At 48.8% G+C, this 25018-nt stretch overlaps 1 protein-coding gene across 5 annotated transcripts in view, besides 3 other annotated features; it reads right to left on the minus strand.

The window, feature by feature from the left end:
* Positions 1-17467, minus strand: part of TMEM40 (transmembrane protein 40) — a 35930-nt gene extending 18463 nt beyond the window's left edge. For 3 of the 5 annotated variants that reach the window (NM_001284408.2, NM_001284407.2, NM_018306.4), the window contains exon 1: positions 7201-7269. Coding sequence is in view for 1 of the 5 variants with exons in the window: in NM_001284406.2 (NP_001271335.1) it covers positions 17261-17300 (40 nt within the window). In the remaining 4 variants the exon portion in view is untranslated. Of the gene's footprint in view, positions 1-4024; positions 4112-7200; positions 7270-17260 lie in introns of those variants that run through there. The other 2 variants (XM_011533937.3, NM_001284406.2) reach the window with 2 other exon arrangements.
* Positions 6137-6316: an enhancer, noted in NCBI's record as "active region_19453". NCBI's record gives its function as "activates an Ori minimal core promoter by ATAC-STARR-seq in GM12878 lymphoblastoid cells {active_cell/tissue: GM12878}" and the evidence as "EXISTENCE:reporter gene assay evidence [ECO:0000049][PMID:35858748]".
* Positions 7272-7857: an enhancer, noted in NCBI's record as "H3K27ac-H3K4me1 hESC enhancer chr3:12800761-12801346 (GRCh37/hg19 assembly coordinates)". NCBI's record gives its function as "activates a minimal SCP1, AML or CMV promoter by ChIP-STARR-seq in primed H9 embryonic stem cells {active_cell/tissue: H9 hESC(primed)}" and the evidence as "EXISTENCE:reporter gene assay evidence [ECO:0000049][PMID:30033119]".
* Positions 7882-7971: a silencer, noted in NCBI's record as "silent region_14069". NCBI's record gives its function as "represses an Ori minimal core promoter by ATAC-STARR-seq in GM12878 lymphoblastoid cells {active_cell/tissue: GM12878}" and the evidence as "EXISTENCE:reporter gene assay evidence [ECO:0000049][PMID:35858748]".
* Positions 17468-25018: the final 7551 nt, after the last annotated feature.

Here is a 25018-nt window from a genome sequence, read left to right on the forward strand (position 1 = left end):
AGGTCAAAACCCACTTCCCTCATGAAGTACTCTTTCAATTGCCTAAACAATACCCATCAACTCTATTCCCCACTCCCCTAAACTTACTCCCTCCACTATCCCTAGCTTTTGTTTTTTTGACAAGGTCTCTCTCTATCACCCAGGCTAAAGTGCAGTGGTGCAATCACAGCTCACTGCAGCCTTGAACTCCTGGACTCAAGTGATCCTCCTGCCTCAACCTTCTGAGTAGGTAGGACTACAAGCATGTACCACCATCCAGGGTTTGTCTCCTTCACTAGATCACGAATGCAGCCTAAGTAGGGACTAAGGCTGATTCATTTCTGTGTCACCCATACCCTGTACAGAGCCGGGAACAAAGGAAAAATGATGATAACAAGCAGCTATAAGTGCCTACTATCTGCCAGGCAAGGTTCTAACAGTTAACTTGTGTTAACTAATCTATTCCTATGAAGGCTCACTAGGGCCGTGCCCATTTTATAGGTCAGAATATTGGGGCACAGAGAGGATAAGAAACTTGCCCAGGACCGGCCGGGCGCGGTGGTTCATGCCTGTAATCCCAGGACTTTGGGAGGCTGAGGCGGGCGGATCACAAGGTCAGGAGATCGAGACCATCCTGGCCAACATGGTGAAACACAGTCTCTACTAAAAATACAAAAATTAGCTGGGCATGGTGGTTGCAGGCCTGTAATCCCAGCTACTCAGGAGGCTGAGGCAGGAGAATCACTTGAACCCCGGAGGCAGAGGCAACCTGCCTCTGAATTGAGATCGCGCGACTGCACTCCAGCCTGGGCGACAGGGCAAGACTCTGTCTCAAAAAAAAAAAGAAAGAAAGAAAGAAAGAAACTTGTCCAGGACCACACAGTAAGTGGTTAAGCAAGGGTAGTTGGTTGCTAAGCCCATGCTGGGAGACTAAAGGAGTGATGCTGGCTCCTCTTCTCAGGACCCTGACACTGGCACCAGGAAAGAGGACACACTAACAGTCATCAGAGTGCTATGCAAATATGCTGACTTGGCTTATATTTAGCTACTGATGGAGCCTTGAGTAATTGTTCCCATAGCCAAGGGAACTTCCCTGGGCAGGTCTTTAGCACACTGAAGGGGAGGAATGGAACCATCACCGGGGGAAGACCCGATGTGGCTCTGTTTCTCCTTTCAATGTCCTTGTCTATTCCTCCTCCACACATTTTTCTTTTTTGCCTTTTTTCTTTCTTTCTTTCTTTCTTTTTTTTTTTTTTTTTTTTTTTTTGAGACAGGGTCTCACTCTATCACCCAGGCTGGAGTGCAGTGGCACGATCACGGCTCTGCAGCTTCAACCTCCTGGGTTCCAGTGATCTTCCCACCTCAACCTCCCGAGTAGCTGGGACTATAGGCATTTGCCACCACACCTAGCTAATTTTTTAGTTTTTATATTTTTGTAGAGATAGGGTCTCACTATGTTGCCCAGGCTGCTCTTGAACTCCTGGGTTCAAGTGATCCTCCCGCCTTGGTCTCCCGAAGTGCTGACGTTACAGGCATGAGCCACCACACCCGGCCTCCACACAGGTCTTATTTAACATAGGGAGAGACTGAGGCTCAGGTAGAGGAAGAGACTTGTTCAAGGTCTCCCAGCTTATAGATGGACTCAAATCTGACCCCTACCCCAACAGAGAAGCTTCATGCCCCAGCTGCCCCCTGGTTAGAGGACTCTAGCACCAACTCAGGTGGCCCCCACATCCAAGGCTGATCCTACAAGGAAATGGAATGCCTGACTTTCTGGCACTTTTCTCCAAAAAGCCCAGCCCTGCTGAGTCATGGGTGGTGCCAGGGCCTCTGTACCCACGGGTCCTGCTAAACTGGATTTCCCCTTCAGGTGAGCCCAGATTTCCTGAGCTTCTGCTGTCACAGGGCCTGGGCCCAGGGCAGGAGGGCTGACAGAGCACACTGAGCCATCACAGCCTCACAGCACTCTCCTCTCCCAGCTCTCTTGACTCTCACACAACCAGGAGGGAGGCAGACTGGAGATTACTGTCGTATTTTACAGAAGAGGAAACTGAGGCCCTGAAATGGAGAGGAATTTGCGCAGGTCATGGAGCCACACGGGGCAAGGCTGGCTCTTTCATCACATCAGGTCAGGAGATCGAGACCATCCTGGCTAACACGGTGAAACCCCGTCTCTACTAAAAATACAAAAAATTAGCCGGGCATGGTGGCGGGCACCTGTAGTCCCAGCTACTCGGGAGGCTGAGGAAGGAGAATGGCGTGAACCCGGGAGGTGGAGCTGGCAGTGAGCCGAGACCGCACCACTGCACTCCAGCCTGGGCGACAGAGCACGATTCCGTCTCAAAACAACAACAACAACAACAACAAAACAAAATAATGGCTGTACAGAAAGAGGATGGTTGGACTCTGGGTGGAGGCTGTTTATACAGAAAGATCTAAGATTTTAAAAAGATAATCTGGAAGGAAAGAAAATAGTGCAAGCATCTAGGTTGTTGTCTAGCATGTCTAGCACATAGTAGGTGCACAACCAATGTTTGTTAAAGTGGCAATATAAGCCAACAAGGTGATATAGCTACAGAGCAAAGCTAGCATATCCTTAGGTGACATTAACAGAAGCACAGAGTCTACGGTGAAGAAGGTGGCCCACATTCCACCATCCCCAATCCTCCATCCTGGGTTTACTCCTGGGTCCTGCATAGAATAAGTTCTGGACAGACAAAGAGAATCCAGAGGATGTAGCAGGTACAGAGACTACACCCAAGAGAAGTGGCTTGGGGAGCAGGGCACTTGACCTAGGGATGAGCTCCACATGGATGGGCCTAGTCACTGACCCCAAGTCTCTGCAGAACTACTCCAGGACTCCAGGACATGGGGAGCAGGTAGGGCTGTGAGCTCAGAAGGAAAGGTCAGTACCTTGAGGAAGTCACCAGAGAAGTTGCCAACTTCAATATATAAAAGAATTTTCTTCTTTTCTTTTCTTTCCTTCTTTCTTTCTTTCTCTTTTTTCTTTCCTTTTCTTTTTCTCTTTCTTTCTCTTCCTTCCTCTCTCTCCTTCCCCCTCCCTCCCTCCTTTCTTTCTTCCTTTCCTTCCTTCTTTCCTTCTTTCTTTCCTCTCTCTTCCCTCCCTCCCTCCTTTTTTCTTTTTTCTTTTCTATTCTTTTCTTTTCTTTCCTTCTCTTTCTTTCTTTCTCTTTCTTTCTTTCTCTCTCTCTCCTTCCTTCCTTCCTTCCTTTCTTTCTTTCTTTCTCTCTCTCTCTCTCTCTCTCTTTCTTTCTTTCTTTCTTTCTTTCTTTCTTTCTTTCTTTCTTTCTTTCTTCTTTTCTAGAGACAGGGTCTCACTTTGTCACCCAGGCTCAAGTGCATTGGAGCAATCATGGCTCACTGCAGCCTTGAACTGTTGACCTTGAGCAATTCTCCTGCCTCAGCCTCCCAAAGTGTTGGGACTGGCCTTCCAAAGTGTGCTGAGCCACTGCACCTGGCCTCAATATATAAAATAATATTCTAAAAATGACAACAGCTTTGGGGTTGTCCTGAGCACGTTGCCATGTGAGGTGGCAAGTTGAGGAGTGGCAAGGGTTGGCTTAGATGTTCTTAGCTCAGAACCTATTAGTGTCTCAAGCAATTCTCTCCAAAGTACAGGAGGAAAATATTAATTTATCGATTTCTATGTAGTTTTTAACTAAAAATAGTTAATAGTATATAGTTTAGCCCTGATGTGCACCCTTGGCTCATATGTCAGACACCACATGTCATGTCTATTAAGTGGGGCTCCCAGAGGCCAGTGGGGAGCCCCACAAGGCAGACAGGTTGATTGTGGCCACGTCTTCCTTTTCTCTACATCCAGACTATTGCCATATATTGTGGCGTGCAGGAGCCCAGTTGGGTTAATTTGAGGCTCAAATGAAACAGCTTTCACTGAATCAGCCCCCTTCTTGTTGACAAGTGACTTCAAAGAGTCTCTGCAAAGAAACCGCGGATGGAGATAACCCTAATCATGAAAGTACAAACAAGCAACAGGAAAAGTGTGGGACAGACTTGTCCTTACTCTTAGTTTAGCTGCATTACCACATTGGAAAGAGCAATGGAAAGGAGTCCGACACATGAAACAACTGTTTCCTGTGTATTTGAGTTCCTGAAATAATGAGAAATAAACACAAACTCAAAATACACAATAATAACGAGAAACAAATACAAACTCAAACTCAAATACAATCGTATTTGAGTTCCTGAAATAATAATGAGAAACAATTTGAAAGGTGGATTTCCACCCACTACCATTGGTGATTGAAATTCATTCTGGGCGTACACTGGCCCTGAGACATCAGCTAACGGCCACCATACTTGTATATACATGTACATATCTATGCATATGTATATGCTGGGGGTGCCAACGGCATGCTTCTTGAGAAGATTGTGCAATCAAAAAGTTAGATGAGTGCTGCTCTAGATCCTCAGACCAAGCTAGATACTAGGGGATGCTAGTCCTGGTTTGGGGTTTTTGGGTCTAATCAGATAATTTGTTCCAGATTTAGGGACAAGGAAAACTAGAGGGGGAGTTTGCCTTCCATAAAACTTTTTTGAGGCTCCACTGACACATTTGAAGATTAATAGGAAGAAACCTAAAACTCATAAAATTCTTTCCCTGGCTCGCATCGTCCTAACTTGGTGTAGTGTTGAGTCAAACACCAAAGCACCAAGGTGGGTGCCCAGCTAGACAGAGCCAGGCGGGTCCCTTCTCCCACAGCCTGGAATCTCAGTCTCTGTTTCTTTCTTTCCCATCTTTCTCTCTCTCTGTTTCTACCCACCTCCCTCTCTCTCTCTCTATCTCTTTCTCTCTCTCTCACACACACACACTCTGTCTCTCACAACACACACCACACATATACACACTCTCTCTCTCACACACACACATACACACACACAACTGACAATAAGAAACAAAAAGGTAGCATCCAGCACAAGAGCTTGTCAGTTCTCTTGAACATCAGACAGACCTAGATCTTCAGTTCCCGCCTCTACCCCTCACTGACTCTGAGACCTGGAGCGTGTCACATCCATTCTCAGAGCTTCAGAATCCTTAGTTGGAAAAATGGGCATGCCTACAACTCAACATACAGTGACAAATAATCCAGTTTAAAAACGGACAGAGGATTCGAATAGACATTTCTCGAAAGAAGACACAGAAATAGTCAATAGCACATAGAAAGATGCTTCACATCACTGGGTGCGGTGGCTCATGTCTGTAATCCCAGCACTTTGGGAGGCTGAGGCGGGCGGATCACCTGAGGTCGGGAGTTCGAGACCAGGCTGGCCAACATGGAGAAACCCCATCTCTTCTAAAAATACAAAATTAGCTGGGCATGGTGGCAGGTGCCTGTAATCCCAGCTACTCGGGAGGCTGAGGCAGGAGAATCACTTGAACCCAGGAGGCAGAGGTTGTGGTGAGCTGAGATCGCACCATTGCACTCCAGCCTGGGCAACAAGACTGAAACTCCGTCTCAAAAAAAAAAAAAAAAAAGATGCTCCACATCATTAGTCATTAGGGAAGTGCAAATCAAAACCACCATGGGATACCCCTTCACACCCACTAGGGTGGCTTACCATAAGACATACAGACACTAACAAGTATTGGTGAGGGTACGAAGAAACTGGAGCCCTCATACATTGCTGGTCAGATTGTAAAATGGTGGTCACTTTGGAAAACAGTTTGTCAGCTCCTCAAAAGGTTAAAAAAGATTTACTACATGACCCAGCAATTCCAATCCCTAGTATATTCGCAAGAGAATTGACAACCTATATCCGAACAAAGACTTGTAATGAATGTTTATAGCAGCATTACACATAACAGCCAAAAATGGAAAAGCTGGAATTACAGGTGCGCATCACCATGCCTGGCTAATTTTTGTATTTTTAGTAGAGACGGGGTTTTACCATGTTGGCCAGGCTGGTCTCGAACTCCTGACCTCAAAGTGATCCACCCGCCTCAGCCTCCCAAAGTAATGGGATTACATAGGTGAGCCATGGCGCCTGGCCCTGAATTATACACTTTTAAAGGGTGAATTTTATAGTAGTGAATTACATCTCAGTAAATCTGTTATTTAAAAAAAAAAAAAAGAAAGAAAGAAAAAGGAAAGACTCCACCCACAGGATTGTTGTGAAAGTGAAATAAGGCAGGGAGCAGGGCAGGCCCAGCATGGTCCCTGACGTGCAGCCAGCACTTGAGATCTCTCTCTCTCTGATCCTTTTCACAAGGAGGATTTCCCAGCAAAAGTAACCTGGTGCTTTAGGGCTACACTAGCTTGAGTTCACTCCCCACCACTCCCACTAACACACACTCCTGACTCCTTAGTTAGGGCTCTGAACTCTTCTGGGCAGTTTCTTAACAAAACAGAAGAAAATAATAAGCACAAGACCATAATCATTCTCATTCCCCTTAAAAGGAAACTAGGTTGGCTTGAGGCCTAAAAGCCAGGGTGCTCTGAGCAGAGGTGGCTCTAGGACAAGGATGACAGCCTACGGGGGTGGGTGGGGGGAGCTCTGAGAGGTCTGCCAAGCCCCCCTCCCCTTGGGCCACACCACCTGTGCCTGAGCCCCCAACAGGCAGCAGGGCCCCCTCCCCATGGCCCAGCTCTCTGGCATATCCTCCCCGGGGGTGCCTTTGAGCTGGAGGCAGAGGACGGCTGACTTCTTCCTTCCAAGTCTCCCAAACCTGGCTGGCAGCCCAGGGTGGCTTCCTCCAGGAAGGGCAGAGAGAGGGGCAGCTGCCTGTAGTCACTGATGGTGGTGCAGAGGCTGAGACATTTGCGGGAACACCCCTCCCCTCCTAAGCTGTTAGGTTCCATAACAGTGAGGGTGTGAGGTGCCTTCAGAGATCTAGCTGGACCCTTCATTTTACAAGTAGGGAAACTGAGGCTCAGAAAGGTCAAGGGTTTTTCTGAAAGTCTTGCAGCAAGTTGGTGACAGAATTGGGAGCTGGTCACCTACCATGGCCAAGTATAGGCGGGTGGAAACCTCAACACAACCCAGGAAGGTGAATATTTGTCATCCTCCCCTGAAGTAGAGACAGGTTCTCACACAGCTAGGAAGATGCAGAGCTGGGACTCAAACCCAGGTCCACCAAGGAACCACACAATATCAAGCCTATTGAGGACACTCTTTCTCCCGATTTCCTTAAAAGCTGACACTCCACCCCACTGCTCACCCAGCCCCATGTCCCATTACCTGTGGTCCTTCAGCTTGTCTGGGCAGCAAGGGGAGCTCTGTGTAGACTATGTGGATGCTGGGCTGGTCAGGGGAAGGAGAGGACAGGCTGCACCTGTGACAGCAAGGAGGGCGGGACTACCGTGACGTTGTCCCTGGGCCCCACTCGCTCACTGGGATGGCATTCCTTCCTGCTGGTGCTATCAGCCCCAGGCCTTCCTGTCTGACTTGACTCTTCCCTACAACACTGCGGAGGGGCAGGTGGGGCAGCTACATGCCTGGTCCTGCCTCAGGGCCACAGCCATGCCTTCAGACTCCAGGAGACAGTGAAATGGGGGCAGCTGTGCCACCCTTGGCTGTACCAAGCTCTGGGAAGGAAGGAGGGGACGTGTCCCAGGTACCCCCTCCACCCACATTGGTGAGGCTGACTCAGGCCCCAGCCACGTGTCCCAACCTGCCCTGCGCGTCCCAGAGGGGAAGGAAGATATTCCAATGCTCCCAGGAGGCTGAGGTTGGGCAGGGAGCAGGAGAGAGGGCCTGGGGGCTCAGGAGACTGGCAGTGCCCACTCCTAGGGAGGAAACTGGGTTACAGCTAGAAGTACTTTTGGAGAGCACCCACTCGCCTTGTGCAAGTGGGAAAACACAGGTCCCTAGAGAGGTGAGAGGAGCAGTGTCAGACCTCACACAGCCGAGGGCAGGGCCCCAGCTCAGCTTGCCTCCACCTCTCACCTCTCACTTATCCAGCACTGTGGCAGCAGGACAGGAAACAAGTCCTACCACGGGAGCCCCCAGCCTTGGAGGGAAACAGGCAAGGCCCAGGAGCTGTGGGCTCCCCAGGAGGACTTCCTGAAGAGGGGTCTTCCATACCCTAAGCTCAGCCCCCAGATCTTGACACTTTGCTTTCTCACACTCTGTATCTGACCCATCTGGAAAATCCTGTTGGTCCTGCCTTCAGTATAGCCTGAATTCAGCCCCTTCTCTCCACTCCTCAACTGTCACCTTGATCCAGCCAGTGTCAACACTGGGCTCCCTGCTCCCCGCCTCGCCCCTGGCTATTCTCATCAGCCAGGCAGCCAGGGGGTCCTGTTCAAACCCAAAGCAGCTCATGTCCCTCCCCGCTCAGCAGCTGCCACACTCCCACTGCACTCAGGGTAAAACCCAAGGTCTTACAAGCCCCTGCGAGATCTTCCCCACACCTCTGGCCCTCTCTGACCTTGGTTCCCATGACTTCCTCCCTCACTCTGCTCCAGTAACACTGGAACATGTTCCAGTTCCCCTGGGTGGGCTCCCTCCTCAGGGCCTTTGCCCTGGCTGTTCCCTCTGCCTGGAGTGCTCTCCCCCTAGAAAGCCACCTGGCCCCCCGCTCACTTCAGCTCTCTCCTCACAAGTCACCTACTCCATGAAGCCTTATCTGACCATCCTGCTTAAAGTAGTAACCCCACACCAGCTTTCCCTCTGCCTGCTTCACTGCTCACCATCTGCTGTGCTGCATATTTTCTTGTTATGTCTATTTTCTCATTACGTATTGCTTTGCTACAGGACCTAGGATCATGTCTGACAGTAGGTGCTCACTAATTTTTTTTTTTTTTTGAGTCAGGGTCTCGCTCTGTTGCCCAAGCTGGAGTGCAGTGGCACGATCATCACTCACTGCAAACTCAAACTCCTGGGCTCAAGCCATCCTCTCACCTCAGCCTGCTGAGGAGCTGGGACTACAGGCATGCACCCCCACGCCTGGCTGATTTTTATATTTTTTGTAGAGACAAGATCTTGCTATGTTAGGCTGGTCTTGAACTCCTAGCCTCAAGCGATCCTCCGGCCTTGGCCCCCTAAAGCTCTGGATTATAGGCGTAAGCCACTGCATCTGGCCCTCAATACATTTGTTGAATGAATGAGTGACCTGAAAGGTTAGCCCAAGAAGTGTTCCAAGGATATTCCATGCAGAGGGAGCCATGTGTGAGGGCTTAGAGGTGAGGAGCACTATTGTGTGGAGGATCTGCAAATAATCCTGAACAGCCAGAGAGTGGGGGCCTTGGGGATGGAGAGGGGAGAGGAGGAAGCAAGAGAGGCAGGGCCTCAGCAGCCAGGCATCCTGAGAGGGATGGGGAGCCACCTGAGAGGGACATGACCAAACCTGTGTTTAAGATAAGAATTTTGCCTGGGAGCCGTGGCTCACGCCTATAATCCCAGCACTTTGGGAGGCTGAGGCAGGTGAATCACTTGAGTCCAGGAGTTCAAGACCGGCCTGGCCAACATGGTGAAACTCCATCTCTACTGAAAATACAAAAAATTAGCTGGGTGTGGTGGTGCATGCCAGTGGTCCCAGCTACTCGGGAGGCTGAGGTGGGAGGATCACTTGAGCCTGGGAGGTGGAGGTTTCAGTGAGCAGAGATGACACCACTGCACTCCAACCATGGCAACAGAGTGAGATCTCATCTCAAAAAAAAAAGAAAAAGAAAAGAAAAAAGATAAGGATTTGGCTGCTGCATTGTGGACTGGTGGAGAAGCTGTGAGGATCCAGCATCTGGGTGAGCATGAGCCATGCAGGGGAGATGGGGACTAGGGACAGGGTCGTGGGAAGTTTACAGCTCTGCTGTCCGAACAGTAGCCACCAGCCACATGCGGTTATGGAGCCCTTGACACATGGCTGGTCAGGATTGAAATGTGCTGTGAGTGTAAAATAACACTAGATTTAAAGACTTGGTATGAAAAATGTATGTATATATATACAACATATATATGTATAATAGATCATTAATAATTTTTGTATTGATTATCTATTAAAATGATATTTGGATATATTATTATTATTTTGTAGAGACAGGATCTTGTTCTCTTGCCCAGGCTGGAGTACAGTGGTACAATCATAGCTCATGGTAACCTTGAAATGGGCTCGAGTGATCCTCCTACCTCAGCCTCCCCAGTAGCTGGGACTACAGGTGTGCACCACCATGCCCGGTTAACTTTTACTTTTTAAAATTTTGTGTAGAGAAAGGGTCTGCTGTGTTGCCCAGGCTGGTCTTGAACTCCTGGGCTCAAGTGATTCTCCAGCCCTGGGTTCCCAAAGTGCTGGGATTTATAGGCATGAGCCAAAGCACCTGGTCTGGATATATTATTAAAATTAGTGTCACCTGCTTCGTTTTACTATTTTTAACATAGTTACTGAAAATTTTTTTAAATTTTAAGTTTTCAGGAGCTACAGAACTTCTATATTGGATGGTGCTGATTTAGAGGTAGAACTGGCAGAGGCTGGAGTACTGTGAGGGTGAGGGGGACCCCGGGTCTAATTATAAGTCTGTCTTCTCCAATTGCTCCTTTCTAATGAGACCACTGTGGTCCAGAGGCCACAGGGGAGAGCCTACAGAGTGAGTGTTCAGTTCAGCATAAGCACACACGCTCATATCTTCAAAGTAAGATCTATCTAGACATGAAATAGGCTGACTGAATAGACAGTGAGTTCTCTGTCTCTGGAGGTATGTAAGAAGAAAATTAAGGACCACCACTAAGCAGAGGAAAGGAGGTGGAACTAGATATTTTCAAAATATAGTCCCCGGACCAGCTGCTACAGCATCCCCTGGAAACCTTTTAGAAATGCAAATTCTCAGACCCCATCCCGGGCCTGAATCAGAAACTCCAGGAGTGGGACCTAGAATCTGTATTTAAATAAGCCCCACTGGACTGGGTGATGTTTCCTGCCACTTAAAGGTTTAAATGCAGCTGGGCGCGGTGGCTCGCACCTGTAATCCCAGCACTTTGGGAGGCTGAGGTGGATCACGAGGTCAGGAGATGGAGACCATCCTGGCTAACACAGTGAAACCCCCGTCTCTACTAAAAATACAAAAAATTAGCCGGGCGTGGTGGCGGGCTCCCGTAGTCCCAGCTACTCGGGAGGCTGAGGAAGGAGAATGGCGTGAATCCGGGAGGCGGAGCTTGCAGTGAGCCGAGATCGCGCCACTGCACTCCAGCCTGGGCGACAGAGTGAGACTCTGTCTCAAAAAAAAAAAAAAAAAAAAAAAGGTTTAAATGCCTGGCACATAGTAGGTGCTCCAAAAAAACTGTTCATTACCTTCTGTTTGCCTCCTACTCCCAAGTTCAGGTACTTCCCTCCCTGAGCCTTAGTTTCCCTCTTTGCACCTCCTACAGCATCTGGTTGTGTGTGTACCTGGTACAGGATGGATGAACCTCAGGGCGTTTCCTACCTCTTTGCTGTGGGCAGATCTCAGGGGACATGATAGAGCTGCCAGAAGTGTAAGGCAGGCCCCAGCTCAACTCCATCCTGAGGTGACCTCATTGCCCTGTGTGTAGGGGGTGATTCATAGGACAACCTCCTACTGTCCTGTGAGCACAGCTGACAGCCCGGGGGAGCCAGCTCAGCAGCTGAGCATGGCATCCAGCTTCCCTGAATTCCAGAACTGCAAGCGGGGGCCTGCCTGACTCAGCAGGCATGGGTGTTCTGGAGACAAGTTAGACAGCTCAGCCTCAGTCTCCCCATCCATAAAAATGGCGGGACACAGCCCCTATCCATGGTGAGAATATTTATATAAAGTGGTCAAGGCAGCGCCTGGCACACGTCAGCCCCTGCTATACCTTGGTGTTCTTGTGATGAGGCTGTGGGATCCTTCAGGCTGATTGGAACTCCCCAGTGACTTCCTAGGTCTGAGAATGATGCCCTGTAGGTGTATGGAGAAAAGAATGTTTACCTACTATGAGCACCCAGGAGCCTGGTTCTTTACATGAGGTTTATTTTTATTTTTATTTAATTTTTTTGAGACAGAGTCTCACTCTGTCGCCCAGGCTGAAGTACAGTGGCGTGATTTCGGCTCACTGCAGCCTCCATCTCCCGGCTTCAAGTGATTATCCTGCCTCAGCCTCCCAAGTAGCTGGGATTACAGGCACCCACCACACCTGGCTAATTTTTGTATTTTTAGTAGAGACGGGGGTCTCACCATGTTGGCCAGGCTGGTCTTGAACTCCTGACCTCAGATAATCCACCCGCCTCAGCCTCCCAAAGTGTTGGTATTACAGGTGTGAGCTGCCGTGCCCGGCTACATGAATTTTTAGTCACCAGAAAGATGTCTGTGAGGGCAGCACCTGTCTTAGTCATCTTAAAGCATCTATTAAATTAACTCTAAATTGGAGAGTATTGTGTCCATTTCATGGATGAGAAAAATGAGGTTCAGAAAGGTTAAATGATGTGCTCAAGGTCACGTGGCTGGGAAGTGGCTGCGTCAGGATCTTCACTCAGGTCTCCCTGACTGGAAACCTGGGTCTCTTTCTATGCCTTCATGGAGAAACTCCAAGTTAACTCACAGATTTGGAAGCTCCTGCACGTGCCACTTAAATCCATGTTTGAAGTGTTAGCTTCTGGTCCACGTTGGAATCCTTGCAATCTATGGTCTTAGAGAAACAGTGGCCGTAGCTGATGCCATTTGAGATGGAGCTTAAAAGATTCCTAAACTAGATTAAGCCTTACTCATCCTGGGCCTCCAGGCTTCAGTTGTTTCACCTGTAAAATGGGCATAATGAAAGCTTGCCTTGGCTGAAGGCAGAAAGTTGGATCTCGTTACCTGAGGGCTCTCCTAACCCTCAGATGCCTGTGTCCCTGCACCTACTTTAAAAGGCAAGGACTAAAGTTAAATTTAAAGTTAAAATTAACTTAAAGTTAAACCCAGGAGGCAGGTTTACATATTTTAATATTTAAGTTTTGTTTTTTGTTTTTTTTTGAGACAGAGTCTCACTCTATTGCCCAGGGTGGAGTGCAGTGGCGCAATCTCGGCTCACTGCAACCTCCGCCTCCCAGGTTCAAGCAATTCTCCTGCCTCAGCCTCCCGAGTAGCTGGGATTACAGGCACCTGCCACCATGCCTGGCTAATTTTTGTATTTTTAGCAGAGACAAGCCAGTCTGGTCTTGAACTCCCGACCTCAAGTAATCCACCTCCCTTGGCCTCCTAAAGTGCTGGGATTACAGGCATGAGCCACCGCGCCTGGCCTGAAGTTAAATTTTTTTAAAAAATAAAGAGGGAGTAGAGGAAAAGTCAATCCTAGCTCATTCTGATTTGTGCAAAACTAGTGATTTGTACTCAACAATCTTATTGTTTTAAGCAGAAAAATCCTTTTGACAAATAAAATTTAAGAAATCTTATCTGATCAAAGTGGATTTTTTTTTTTCTGGTTGAAGTAGGAGCCATGGGCTGTCGATGGGAACACCAACATCACCTTGGCCTTGCAGGCAGCCCTTGGGGTGCCAACGAAGAGCCCAGGGGTGCCAGAGAACCCAGTTTGACAATCACTGGAGGGCAGCAATACAAACAAACCATCGCTGGAGATCCGTTTGAAGAGAGACAAGAAGGTCCACTAAATGGTTGCTTTGGGTTCTAAAGAAAAATGGCTGTTTGATTACTTTTTTTTTTTTTTTTTTTGAGACGGAGTCTCGCTCTGTTGCCCAGGCTGGAGTGCAGTGGCGTGATCTCGGCTCACTCCAAGCTCCCCACATCCTGGGTTCACGCCATTCTCCTGCCTCAGCCTCCTGAGTAGCTGGGACTACAGGCGCCTGCCACCACGCCCAGCTAATTTTTTGTGTTTTTAGTAGAGACTGGGTTTCACCGTGTTAATCAGAATGGTCTCGATCTCCTGACCTCGTCATCTGCCCGCCTCCCAAAGTGCTGGGATTATAGGCGTGAACCACTGCGCCCAGCCTCTTTCTTTCTGAGACATGGTCTTGCACTGTTGCCCAGGCTGAAGTGCAGTGGGCACCATCTCTGCTCACTGCAACCTCCACCTCCCGCGTTCAAGCGATTCTCCCACCTTAGACTACTGAGTAGCTGGGATTACAGGTGTGCACCACCTGCGCCCGGCTAATTTTTTGGTATTTTTAGTAGAAAGAGGGTTTTGCCATGTTGTTCAGGCTGGTCTTAAGCTCCTGGGCTCAAGCAATCCTCCCACTTCAGTCTCCCAAAGTGCTGGGATTACAGGCATGAGCCACTGTGCCTGGCCAGCTTGTTCCTTGTTATTGCAGAGTAGCGTGGATGTTCAGATTCTATGGTGTGGATAGGCAACTGTTTGTTGGCCATTTACCCAGTGAGGGGCATCTGATTGTTTCCAGTTTGGGTCTATTATGAATAAAACTGCTATAAATATTCATATACAGGGCCGGGCACGGTGGCTCACACCTGTAATCCCAGCACTTTGGGAGGCCGAGGAGGGCGGATCACGAGGTCAGGAGATCGAGACCATCCTGGCTAACACAGTGAAACCCCATCTCTACTAAAAATACAGAAAATTAGCCAGGCGTGGTGGCAGGTGCCTGTAGTCCCAGCTACTCGGGGGGCTGAGGCAGGAGAATGGCATGAACCCAGGAGGTGGAGCTTGCAGTGAGCCGAGATTGTGCCACTGCACTCCAGCCTGGGCGACACAGCGAGACTCCATCTCAAAAAAAAAAAAAAAGGATTATTTATATATAGCAGATAGTAACCTTTTGTCAGCTATGTGGTTTGCAAATATTTTCTCCAGTCCATCGGCCACCCTCTGACACTGCTGAACAGTCATTCCCTTGTCTAGTTCACAGGACTCTGAGAGGCCAGCTGGACAGGCATTCTTGAGGACAGTTCACAGATGCAGAAACACAGGTCTAGAGGGTAAAAGGACTTTCCCACAAATGCACAAGGAGTTTAGGGGCAGAGGGGGGACCAGGACCCAGATCTCCTCCTGACCCTCGGCCTAGTGATCAGGCCACCTTGTGGAACGAGAGATCTTCCCTTTCCCTACCCTCTCATCCTGGATGGATGCTCACCACACAGCCACAGCTCTAGTTGAGCTTGCTGAAGCCAGACAAGGGAGAGAGATGTCTGCGCCTGGGGAAGGGCCAGTCTCCAAAAAGGACCCTATGTCCAGAAAATATGCACTTTCCTCCAGGTGAGGGAAGATCTGACCCTGGAGCAGCTACTAGAGAATGAATTTTGTGGGACACCTTGAAGCTGGGGAGGTTAAGTAACTTGCTTGAGGTCACAATGATTTAGTGGTAAAAGTTGGGGGGTCAGTTGCCAAATTTTTTCAGTGCCTTCCTGTCAGCCCTGATACTGGCTTTTATAGGGGAAGGACTATAGAGTCATCAGATGTATTCAATGGGTCAGAGGAATAAAAATTTGGCCTCCAGGACAGCAGGGGGGAAAAGGCTCTCCTTGGAGAAGAGCAAGTGGGGACAACCATGGTGAGGGCGGGAGATGTCCTCTTTCCCAGGCGACTGTGGCATCGATAGAAGAGATGAGAGGAAGTAGCAGGTCAGGAGCTTCGGTTCACCTTCTCTACGGTCAAGTATGAGCTCTGAGGTCCTTAGGGTCTGTTTTACCCACAGATTAGAGAATTGGGGTGAAGAGAGAAATGAAGTAACGTACCCATCAGATGGGAGTTTATCTGAGCCCTGGGTCCCTACAGGCCTGGCTAGATAGAAATGCTCTCCATTCGCAGGGCAAAAGCAGCATGGGCAAGACTCCTCTGAACTCCACTGCTCTGAGCAGGGGCCCCAGAAGGTGGTCTCCAAGGGGACGGGAAAACAGGATGACTAGGGCTGATTCACCACCCAGCACTACTGGACTTAACAAAGAGGCAAGGAGGGTCAAAGGCCTGGTCTCACCTTGAGGACCTACTGGGGCTAGTTTGTGTCCAGCATACAGCTGGAGCTTTTAGGGAGGAATATGGTGCAGCTCCTGTCTCCACACCCCTTATAGCTTGTCCAGGAAGCAAAACTTGTGGAAGTGTCATAGTTACGGACTCAAGAGCAGAATGGAACACTAAGGACCATCATTGCCCCTCAGCCAGAGACCACAGTGTGTCTGGAATTGGTGGGTTCTTGGTCTCACTGACTTCAAGAATGAAGCCACAGACCCTCGCAGTGTTACAGTTCTTAAAGGCGGCGTGTTCGGAGTTTCTTCCTTCTGGTGGGTTCACGGTCTCGCTGGCTCAGGAATGAAGCTGCAGACCTTCGCGGTGAGTGTTATAGCTCTTAAGGCGACGCGTCTGGAGTTGTTCGTTCCTCCCAGTGGGTTCGTGGTCTATGCTGGCCTCAGAAGTGAGCCTGCAGACCTTCGTGGTGAGTGTTACAACTACATAAAGCCAGCGTGGACCCAAAGAGCAAAACAACAAAGCTTCCACAGTGTGAAAGGTGACCCCAGCGGGTTACCACTGCTGGCTGGGGCAGCCTGCTTTTATTCTCTTATGTGGCCCCACTCACATCCTGCTGATTGGTCATTTTACAGAGAGCCGATTGGTCCGTTTTGACAGGGTGCTGATTGGTGCATTTACAATCCCTGAGCTAGACACAGAGTGCCGATTGGTGTATTCACAATCCCTTAGCTAGACATAAAGATTCTCCAAGTCCCCACCAGATTAGCTAGATACAGAGTGCCGACTGGTGCATCCACAAACCCTGAGCTAGACACAGGGTGCTGATTGGTGTGTTTACAAACCTGAGCTAGATACAGAGTGCTGATTGGTGTTATTTACAATCCCTTAGCTAGACATAAAGGTTCTCCAAGTCCACACTAGACTCACGAGCCCAGCTGGCTTCACCCAGTGGATCCCGCACCGGGGGCCGCAGGTGGAGCTGCCTGCCAGTCCCGCGCAGTGCTCCCACAGTCCTCAGCCCTTGGGCGGTCGATGGGACCGGGCGCCGTGGAGCAGGGGGCAGCGCTCATTGGGGAGGCTCGGCCCTGCAGGAGCCCATGGCGGGGCGGGGCGGGGCAGGGCGGGCCGGGGCCGGGGCCGGGGCGGGGCGGGGGGGGCGGGGGGGGCGGGGGGGCGCGGCCTGGCGAGGCACAGGCAAGGCGCACTGCAGGTCCTGATCCCTGCCTCTCAGGGAGGCAGCTAAGGCCCTGCGAGAAATCGAGTGCAGCGCCAGTAGGCTGGCATTGCTGGGGTACCCGGCGCACCCTCCACAGCTGCTGTCCCGGGTGCTAAGCCCCTCACTGCCCGGGACTGGCGGGGCCTCTCCAAGTGCGGGGCCTACCAAGCCCAAGCCCACCCGGAACTGTAGCCGGCCCTCAAGTGCTGCGTGCAGCCCCGGTTCCCGCCCGTGCCTTTCTCTCCATACCTCCCGGAAGGCTGAGGGAGCCGGCTCCGGCCTCGGCCATCCCAGGAAGGGACTCCCACAGTGCAGCAGCGGGCTGAAGGGCTCCTCAAGTGCGGCCAGAGTGGGCGCCGAGGCTGAGGAGGCACCAAGAGCAAGCGAGGGCTGCGAGGGCTGCCAACACGCTGTCACCTCTCAACAGGAGCCACCCTTAGTTAAACAAGTTAAAAAGGCTCCACCTTCTGGAGCAGGAGGTGAGTGGAGGGGTAATAAAATGAGGCTGGGACAGGGTGCAGGGGCTCACACCTGTAATCCCAACACTTTGGGAGGCCAAGGCAAAAGGATTGATTCTGGCCAAGAGTTCAAGACCATCCTGGGCAACATAGCAAGACCCTGCCTCTACAAAAAATTCAAAAAACATTAGCCTGGAGTGGTGGTGTGTACCTGCAGTCCCAGCTGAGATGGGAAGCTGAGGCGAGAGGAGTTGGTTATGAAAGGGACTTAGAGGTTACTCCATAGGAGTGGGTGTCCCCAAGTCAGCCCCTCTAATTCCTGGTGGTTCAGGAGATAATCATAGCTAGCACCAATAATACTGAATCACATAATCAGAAACAAGTTCCATTTTCAACGTGTCTGGGCCCTTCTGATTAAGAATAACATGGTGTTTATGACTCTGGAACCAGACAGCATGGATTTGGATCCTGACTGTGACTTACCAGCTGTTTGACCTCAAGAAAGTTACTTAACCTCTCTGAGCTCTGGTTTCCTCATCCATAAAATGGGGATAGCAATCGTACCTACCTTATTGGGTTGTTACATTAACTTAGCTCACTTAAACTGCATATTGGTGACTTATTACATCTAGGAGAAAGTCTCTGTGTACTGTTAATGTGTTTTTAACATGCCTTGCCCATTTTGAGCCCATGCTCACTTTTAATAAAGTATTAGAATGTATCTCTGTGGAGACACACTCTAATTTTCAGCAGACAATGCTATCTAATTAGAATGTAATAATAACCTTGTTCCACTTTCCTGGTATTTTGTCTTTTTTAATAGTTATTTTCAATTTACGGCAGATAATACTGGGTTTCTGTCTTGGGTAGTAACATAAAGTTTCCTTTAAAAATAAATTATTTCGCTTGTTGGCAGGGAGAGGGAGAACATCAGGAAGAATAGCTAATGGATGCTGGGCTTAATACCTGGGTGATGGGATGATCTGCGCAGCAAACCACCATGGCACACGTTTACCTATGTAACAAACCTGCACATCCTGCACATGTACCCCTGAACTTAAAATAAAAGTTGAAGATGAAATAGTAATTATTATTAAAAAAGAAAAATTTTTTTAAGATGTGAGTTAAAAAGTTATAATGTGTGGGCGGCAAGCCACCCAGGTGCCGAGGCAAGAGACCAAGGACATGAGCTGTTCCAGTATAATAAAATATAAAACAAGAATAGTTATACTAGATATAGATCTTAGATATGATTATATATGAATATCATTAATCATTAGTTTGTAGCAATTACTCTTTATTCCAATATTATAATAATCCTTGCTCTATAATCATAACCTAGGAAAAACCAGGCCATACAGAGATAGGAGCTGAGGGGACACAGTGAGGAGTGACCAGAAGACAAGAGTGCGAGCCTTCTGTTATGCCCAGACAGGACCACCAGAAGGGCTCCTTGGTCTAGCGGTAATACCAGCATCTGGGAAAACGCCCGTTGCCAGGCGGACCATGGTCTAGCGGTAGCGTAAGTGTCAAGGAAGAACACATGATGCTTAGCAGACCGGGAAAGGGAGTCTCCCTTTCCCTGGGGTAGTTTAGAGAAGCCTCTACTCCTCCACTTCTTGTGGAGGGCCTGACATTAGTCAGGCTCGCCCGCAGTTATCCGGAGGCCTAACCATCTCTCTGTGATGCTGTGCTTCAGTGGTCATGCTCCTAATCCGCCTTCATGTTCCATCCTGTACACCTGGCTCTGCCTTCTAGATAGCAGTAGCAAAATTAGTGAAAGTACTAAAAGTCTCTGATATGCAGAAATAATGGCGTAAGCTGTCTCTCTCTCTCCGTCTCTCTCTCTCTCTCTCTGCCTTGGCTGCCAGGCAGGGAAGGGCCCCCTGTCTGGTGGACACGTGACCCACGTGGCTTTACCTACCATTGGAGATGACTTACACTCTTTACCCTGCCCCTTTTGTCTTGTATCCAATAAATAACAGCGCAGCCCGGCATTTGGGGCCACTACCAGTCTCCGTGACTTGGTGGTAGTGGTTCCCTGGGCCCAGCTGTCTTTTCTTTTGTCTCTTTGTCTTGTGTCTTTACTTCTACACTCTCTCGTCTCCACACACGGGGTGAAACCCACCAACCCTGTGGGGCTGGTCCCTACAATAAAGTAATTTTAAAACCTTAAATATTCCTGGGTGCACTGGCTCACACCTGTAATCCCAGCACTTTGGGAGGCCGAGGCAGGTGGATTACCTGAGGTCAGGAGTTTGAGACCAGCCTGGCCAACATGTTGAAACTCTGTCTCTAGTAAAAATACAAAAATTAGCTGGGCATGGTGGTGCATGCTCCCCAGCTACTCAGGAGGCTGAGGCAGGAGAATCACTTGAACCTGGGAGGTGGAGGTTGCAGCGAGCCGAGATCACACCACTGCACTCCAGCCTGGGTGATAGAGTGAGACTCTGTCTCAAAACAAACAAACAAACAAAAACCTTAAATATTAAAATATGTAATAAATAATACAAGTGGTTATAGATGTGGCAAATGTTCTGGAAGTGGTATGTGAATGAATGAAGTTTGGGAGCTTCGTTGTTGAGAGAAATCCTGGAGAATCCCTGGAGAGGTTTAAGCAGGAACACTCAGACAAGAGCTGCACTATAGGAGGCCTGACTCGAGTGGGGCCAAGGCTACTCTAAAACAGAGACAGGAGGCAGACAGTCCTCTGTCCTGCCTGGGGCTGAGATGGGCCAGGGACAGGAAGGAGGGGGAAATTCAGGAAATTTTGTGAATACTCATCTTACAAACAAATTGCAAATAGACAGCTTTGACACAATCTGAACACTGAATATAGGGCATTGAGTTATTTAAGGAATTATTTTTATTTTTGTTACGTATGAAAATGGCATGGTGGTATGTAAAAAACAGGCTGGGCATGGTGGCTCATGCCTATAATCCCAGCACTTTGAGAGGCCAAGGTGGGCAGATCACCTTAGGTCAGGAGTTCAAGACCAGGCTGGCCAACATGGTGAAACCCCGTTTCTACTAAAAATACAAAAATTAGCCGGTGTGGTGGAGCACGCCTGTGGTTCCAGTTACTGGGGAGGCTGAGGCACAAGAATCACTTAAACCTGGCAGGCAGAGGTTGCAGTGAGCCGAGATTGTGCCACTGTACTCCAGCCTGGGTGATAGAGTGAGATTTCATCTCAAAACAAACAAAGTCATACATTGGCAATGGGGGCTGAAGTGATTACTTGTGTCTGGGATTTGTTTTGAAGCACTTGAGCAGCAGAAAAATGTGGAAGAGGGAGAGACGAAGCAAGATTGGCTAATGTTGGTAACAGTGGAAGCTGGGTGATTTGCTATATTATTGTCTAACTGGGTATATATCAAAATTTCCTTAATAAAAGTTTCCAAGGATGCAGTACCTCACTGGATCCATGTTCCATGGCATTAGAGAGGCAGTACTGTTTTCAGAAATGTCTGGACTGTGTATTCCATATCTTTGTTTAAACCCAGAATGAAAGCATTTAGTGACTGGACACCAGGACACTCCTTGCTATAAATGTTATGGAATCTCCGGTTGTGATTTCTTTTGGGCCTGGTGATTCCTTTCTAGAGTTGTCGGATCTACCAATATAGTTCACTTCTTTAGGAGGGTTCAACAGTCTCTGGCAATAAATAAGAGGGGGTTGTTGACCTTTATGACAAATACAGGAAGGGAGGGAAGAAGTAAAGGGAGGGAGGGAAGGAGAGAGAGAGGGAGAGAGGAAGGAGGAAGGGAGAGAGGGAAGGAGGGAGAGAGGTAAGAGGGGAGGAAGGAATAAAAGAGGAGGGGAGAGGGAAGAAGGAAGTGTTACCAAAATACCAGGGGTTTGGTCTAGGTCCTGCTGCTTGCTGCACAGAAATCAATTACTGAGACAAGTATTGCCAAGGAAGAAGCCTTTAATCAAGTGCTACAGCTGAGGAGATGGAAGCTCAGTCTCAAATCTATTTTCCTGACTGACTAAAACCAGCGGTTGGTATAGCAGGCAAGAAATGTAACAATGTGTAAGAAAACAGGAACTTGGGAGGGGCAAGGAGGCAATCATGGTGAATGAGGGGTCAGGCACCTAGTTCAGTCACCTGGTTTCAGTTCTTTGATACTTTTTGTGAGAGGCCTGAAGGTCCTTTCCTGAGGAAGGAACTCAGATAAAACAAATGTAAGTTTCAATCTTTAACAGCAGAATGGTCAATTTCTATGTTTATCCAAAAACAACTGTCTATGGGATTCTTGGGCCCCTTTCAGAAGGAAGAAAAGGAGCAGGAGGAAGGAGAGAAGATAAAGGAGAAGGCTCTTGAGATCATCTTGAGACCCAAGCCCTAAGTGTTTGGAATGGGCTCATCTCTGTTGGAAGGAGACAGTGCCTTCAGCCTTGGAATTCTCCCAAGAACTCTGGGCAGTAACTCTTCTGAGTGGTTTGAGCTGAGCTCAAGCCCAGGCAGATGTCACAGGACCATTTGTCCCACCCACCCAATGACAGGAGCCTGAGGATGTGCACATGCAAGCATGTGTGGCGGGACTCCTATCCACTTCTATACCTGGAGAAGGCAACTGCTCCTCAAGGCTTGGCTCATGAGTCCCCTCTCCCCCTTCCCTCTTCTGTGTCCCTGTATTAGTCAAGGTTCCAACAGAAACAGAACCAATAGACTTTATGTAGATGTACCGGAAGAGATTTATTGTGAGGGATTAGCTCCACAGTTATGAAGGCTGAGAAGTTCCATAATCCTCCATCTGCAAGCTGGGGGTCCAGGAAAGTCAGTAGTGTAAGTTCCAGTACCAGGAGCTCTGACATCAGAGGGCAAGGGAAGGTGGGTGTCCCAGCTCAAGCACAGGCAGCAAATTTGCCCTTCCTCCACCTTTTGGTTCTGTTAGACCCTCAGCACATTGAAAGATACTTACCTGCACTGGTGAGGGCAGATTTCTTTACTCAGTCTACTGCTTTAAATGCTGATCTCTTCTGGAAACAGACACACCAGAAATAATGTTTTACCAGCAATCTGGGCAGCTCTTAGCCTAGTCAAGTTGACACATCAAATTAGCCATCACCGTCTCCATGATTCTTCCCTCAGCCGTGGCACACATCGCACTGGGCGGTAATTGTTGGTCAGTTAATGTCTCCCCTACCGGGCATAACAGTAATAGAAATAACTAACAGCTACCATTCACAGCAGCTTGCCCTGTGCCAGCTTTTCTCCCAAGAGCTTTACCTCATGAGGTAGGTGCTATAATTTCTACTCTATAGAGATGAAAACTGAGGCTCAGAGAGATTGAGTCACTTGCCCAAAATCACACAGCAAGAGGGGACTGAAACGCAGCTCTGTCTTCCCACAAAGCAGTTGTTCTTAACCACATTTCTAACCAGCTTGCCTCTAGCTCCCCCTGTGCCTAGCGAATGGCTGGCTCCTTGGTAAATGCTTGAAGAAACACTCACCACTCTGACTCGACTTCCCTCCCAGTCTGGGGAGCCTGCCACCCTCCCCCAGCAACTTGCCTGCCTCATTCACTCCCAAAAGGTGCGATGGAATGAGAGTTCCACCTTGTTCACTTCAAGCTACAAACGTCTTTCTCCATCCCAAAGAGAAGTGGCTCAGTTTTATAAATAGCCCTAAGCTGGGAGCTGAGAGACCCCATTTTGAGCTCTGGCTCTGGCTGTGTGACCTTCACAAAATCACATAACCTCCATGAGTTTCGGTTTCTTTGTAGGGCAAATGGAGAAACCCCTTGTCCCTTGAGGGAAGGCATCTGACAGTGCTCAGCAAATGTTCTTTTCAGTTCTCCAGGAGGGGTTAAAGAATTCTTCCAGCATCCTGCTGAGGTGGGCTGGGGTGTCACACACACAGCACCAGGCCATGGACAGAAGCCTCTGCCGAGACCCAGGCAGAAGAAGTGGGGCCCAGAAGGAGCAGCCTGGTCCCCCCACAGGGCCAAGCAGATTGACTTCTGGAGCAAGGGGCTGCATCTGGGGGACTTCTCTGCAGGCAACACCTGAAGCCCTGACCATGGGCCAGTATAAATGAGGAGGATGGTTTGTTAGCCAAACCCACCTTCAGACACCTGCAGGATACCTATCAGCTGGAGGCTCTGGGAGTGAGCCAGCCCTGCCCCTCACTGTAGGGGTGGGAGATGATGGAAATGAATCTTTATTCCCAAATTCTACAAAACACTGTCACAGCCATAGCTTTCTTGTCTTCCTTGCTCCTCACCACTTCTCTCAGTTCAGTCCATTGCTCGAGCATCTACACTGTGCCAGGCACTGTACCAGGTGCTAGGTGGCAGGGAGGGTAAGTGCTATTGCATTTAACAACAAAGGGCGAAGTAGTGAGGCCAGAACTTGAATGCAGGGACTCTGCTCTTAAAACCCCACTTCTTCCTACTACTAACTCTCTTACAGCCAAAAGAGATTTCTCAGTCAGCTATGGAGACAGAAAAAACAGCAGGAAGGGAAATTGAAGGTGAGACAGAGGAGACATAGGAAAAGGGAGTGATATGGTTTGGGTCTGTGTCCCCACCCAAATCTCATCTTGAATTGTACTCCCATAATTCCCACATGTTATGGAGGGACCTGGTGGGAGATAATTGAATCATGAGGGCAGTTTCCCGCATACTGTTTTCCTGGTAGTGAATAAGTCTCACGAAATCTGATAGTAAGGGGAAAGCTGTTTCACTTGGCTCTCATTCTTTCTCTTGTCTGCCGCCATGTGAGACGTGCCTTTCACCTTCCACCATGATTATGAGGCCTCCCCAGCCACGTGGAACTGTAAGTCCAATAAAACTCTTTCTTTTGTAAATTGCCCAGCCTCAGGTATGTCTTTATCAGCAGTGTGAAAACAGACTAATACAGGGAGTGAGAGGAGAAATCCACGAAGGCCTCCAGGAGGCTGTGACAGTTGGTTTTGAAGGTTGGTTGGGGGTTATTTGTTTTTTTTTTTTTTTAAATAACTTCTCCCACCCCCTGACAGAAGCAGCATCAATTCCTTATAGCAACTTGAGTAAAATACTGGTAAACAAAGAAATCAAAACAAAAATCTCCTGGAATTCCCACCATCCAGAAATAACCACTGTTGATATACGTGTATATATCCTTCATCTTTTTTCTATCCATAAATACTTACTTTGTTACGAATGTGAGCTCAAGCTGTACAGGCTGCTTTATGAGGTTCTAATGCAGGTTTCCCCCAGAAAGATGGGAGGCTGATCCTTCTTGCAGTGTCTTCCTAAAAGAGAAGGAGGGAGCATCTGATGGAGGGGGTATGTAAAGGAACCACACATACTCAGACCATTCACTTGGGTGGGGATTGCTTTCTGCCCTCAGACATCTGGTAGACTAGACATGTTCTCTAATCCAGGAGTGCTGAATTAGTGAGACTAGTGGGGCAGGTGTCTAAAACCACTTTCTCTAATCATCCTCCTCTCCATCTGTCTGCCTGTCTCTGTTTCTCAATTCATTCCACATTGTGAAAGGGAAAGGGGCTGTTGTTTATTAACACCCTAAATAGAAATCACCAAATAGTATGAAGAATT

This window comes from Homo sapiens, chromosome 3 (assembly GCF_000001405.40).
Source record: "Homo sapiens chromosome 3, GRCh38.p14 Primary Assembly".
Classification (NCBI taxonomy): domain Eukaryota; kingdom Metazoa; phylum Chordata; class Mammalia; order Primates; family Hominidae; genus Homo; species Homo sapiens.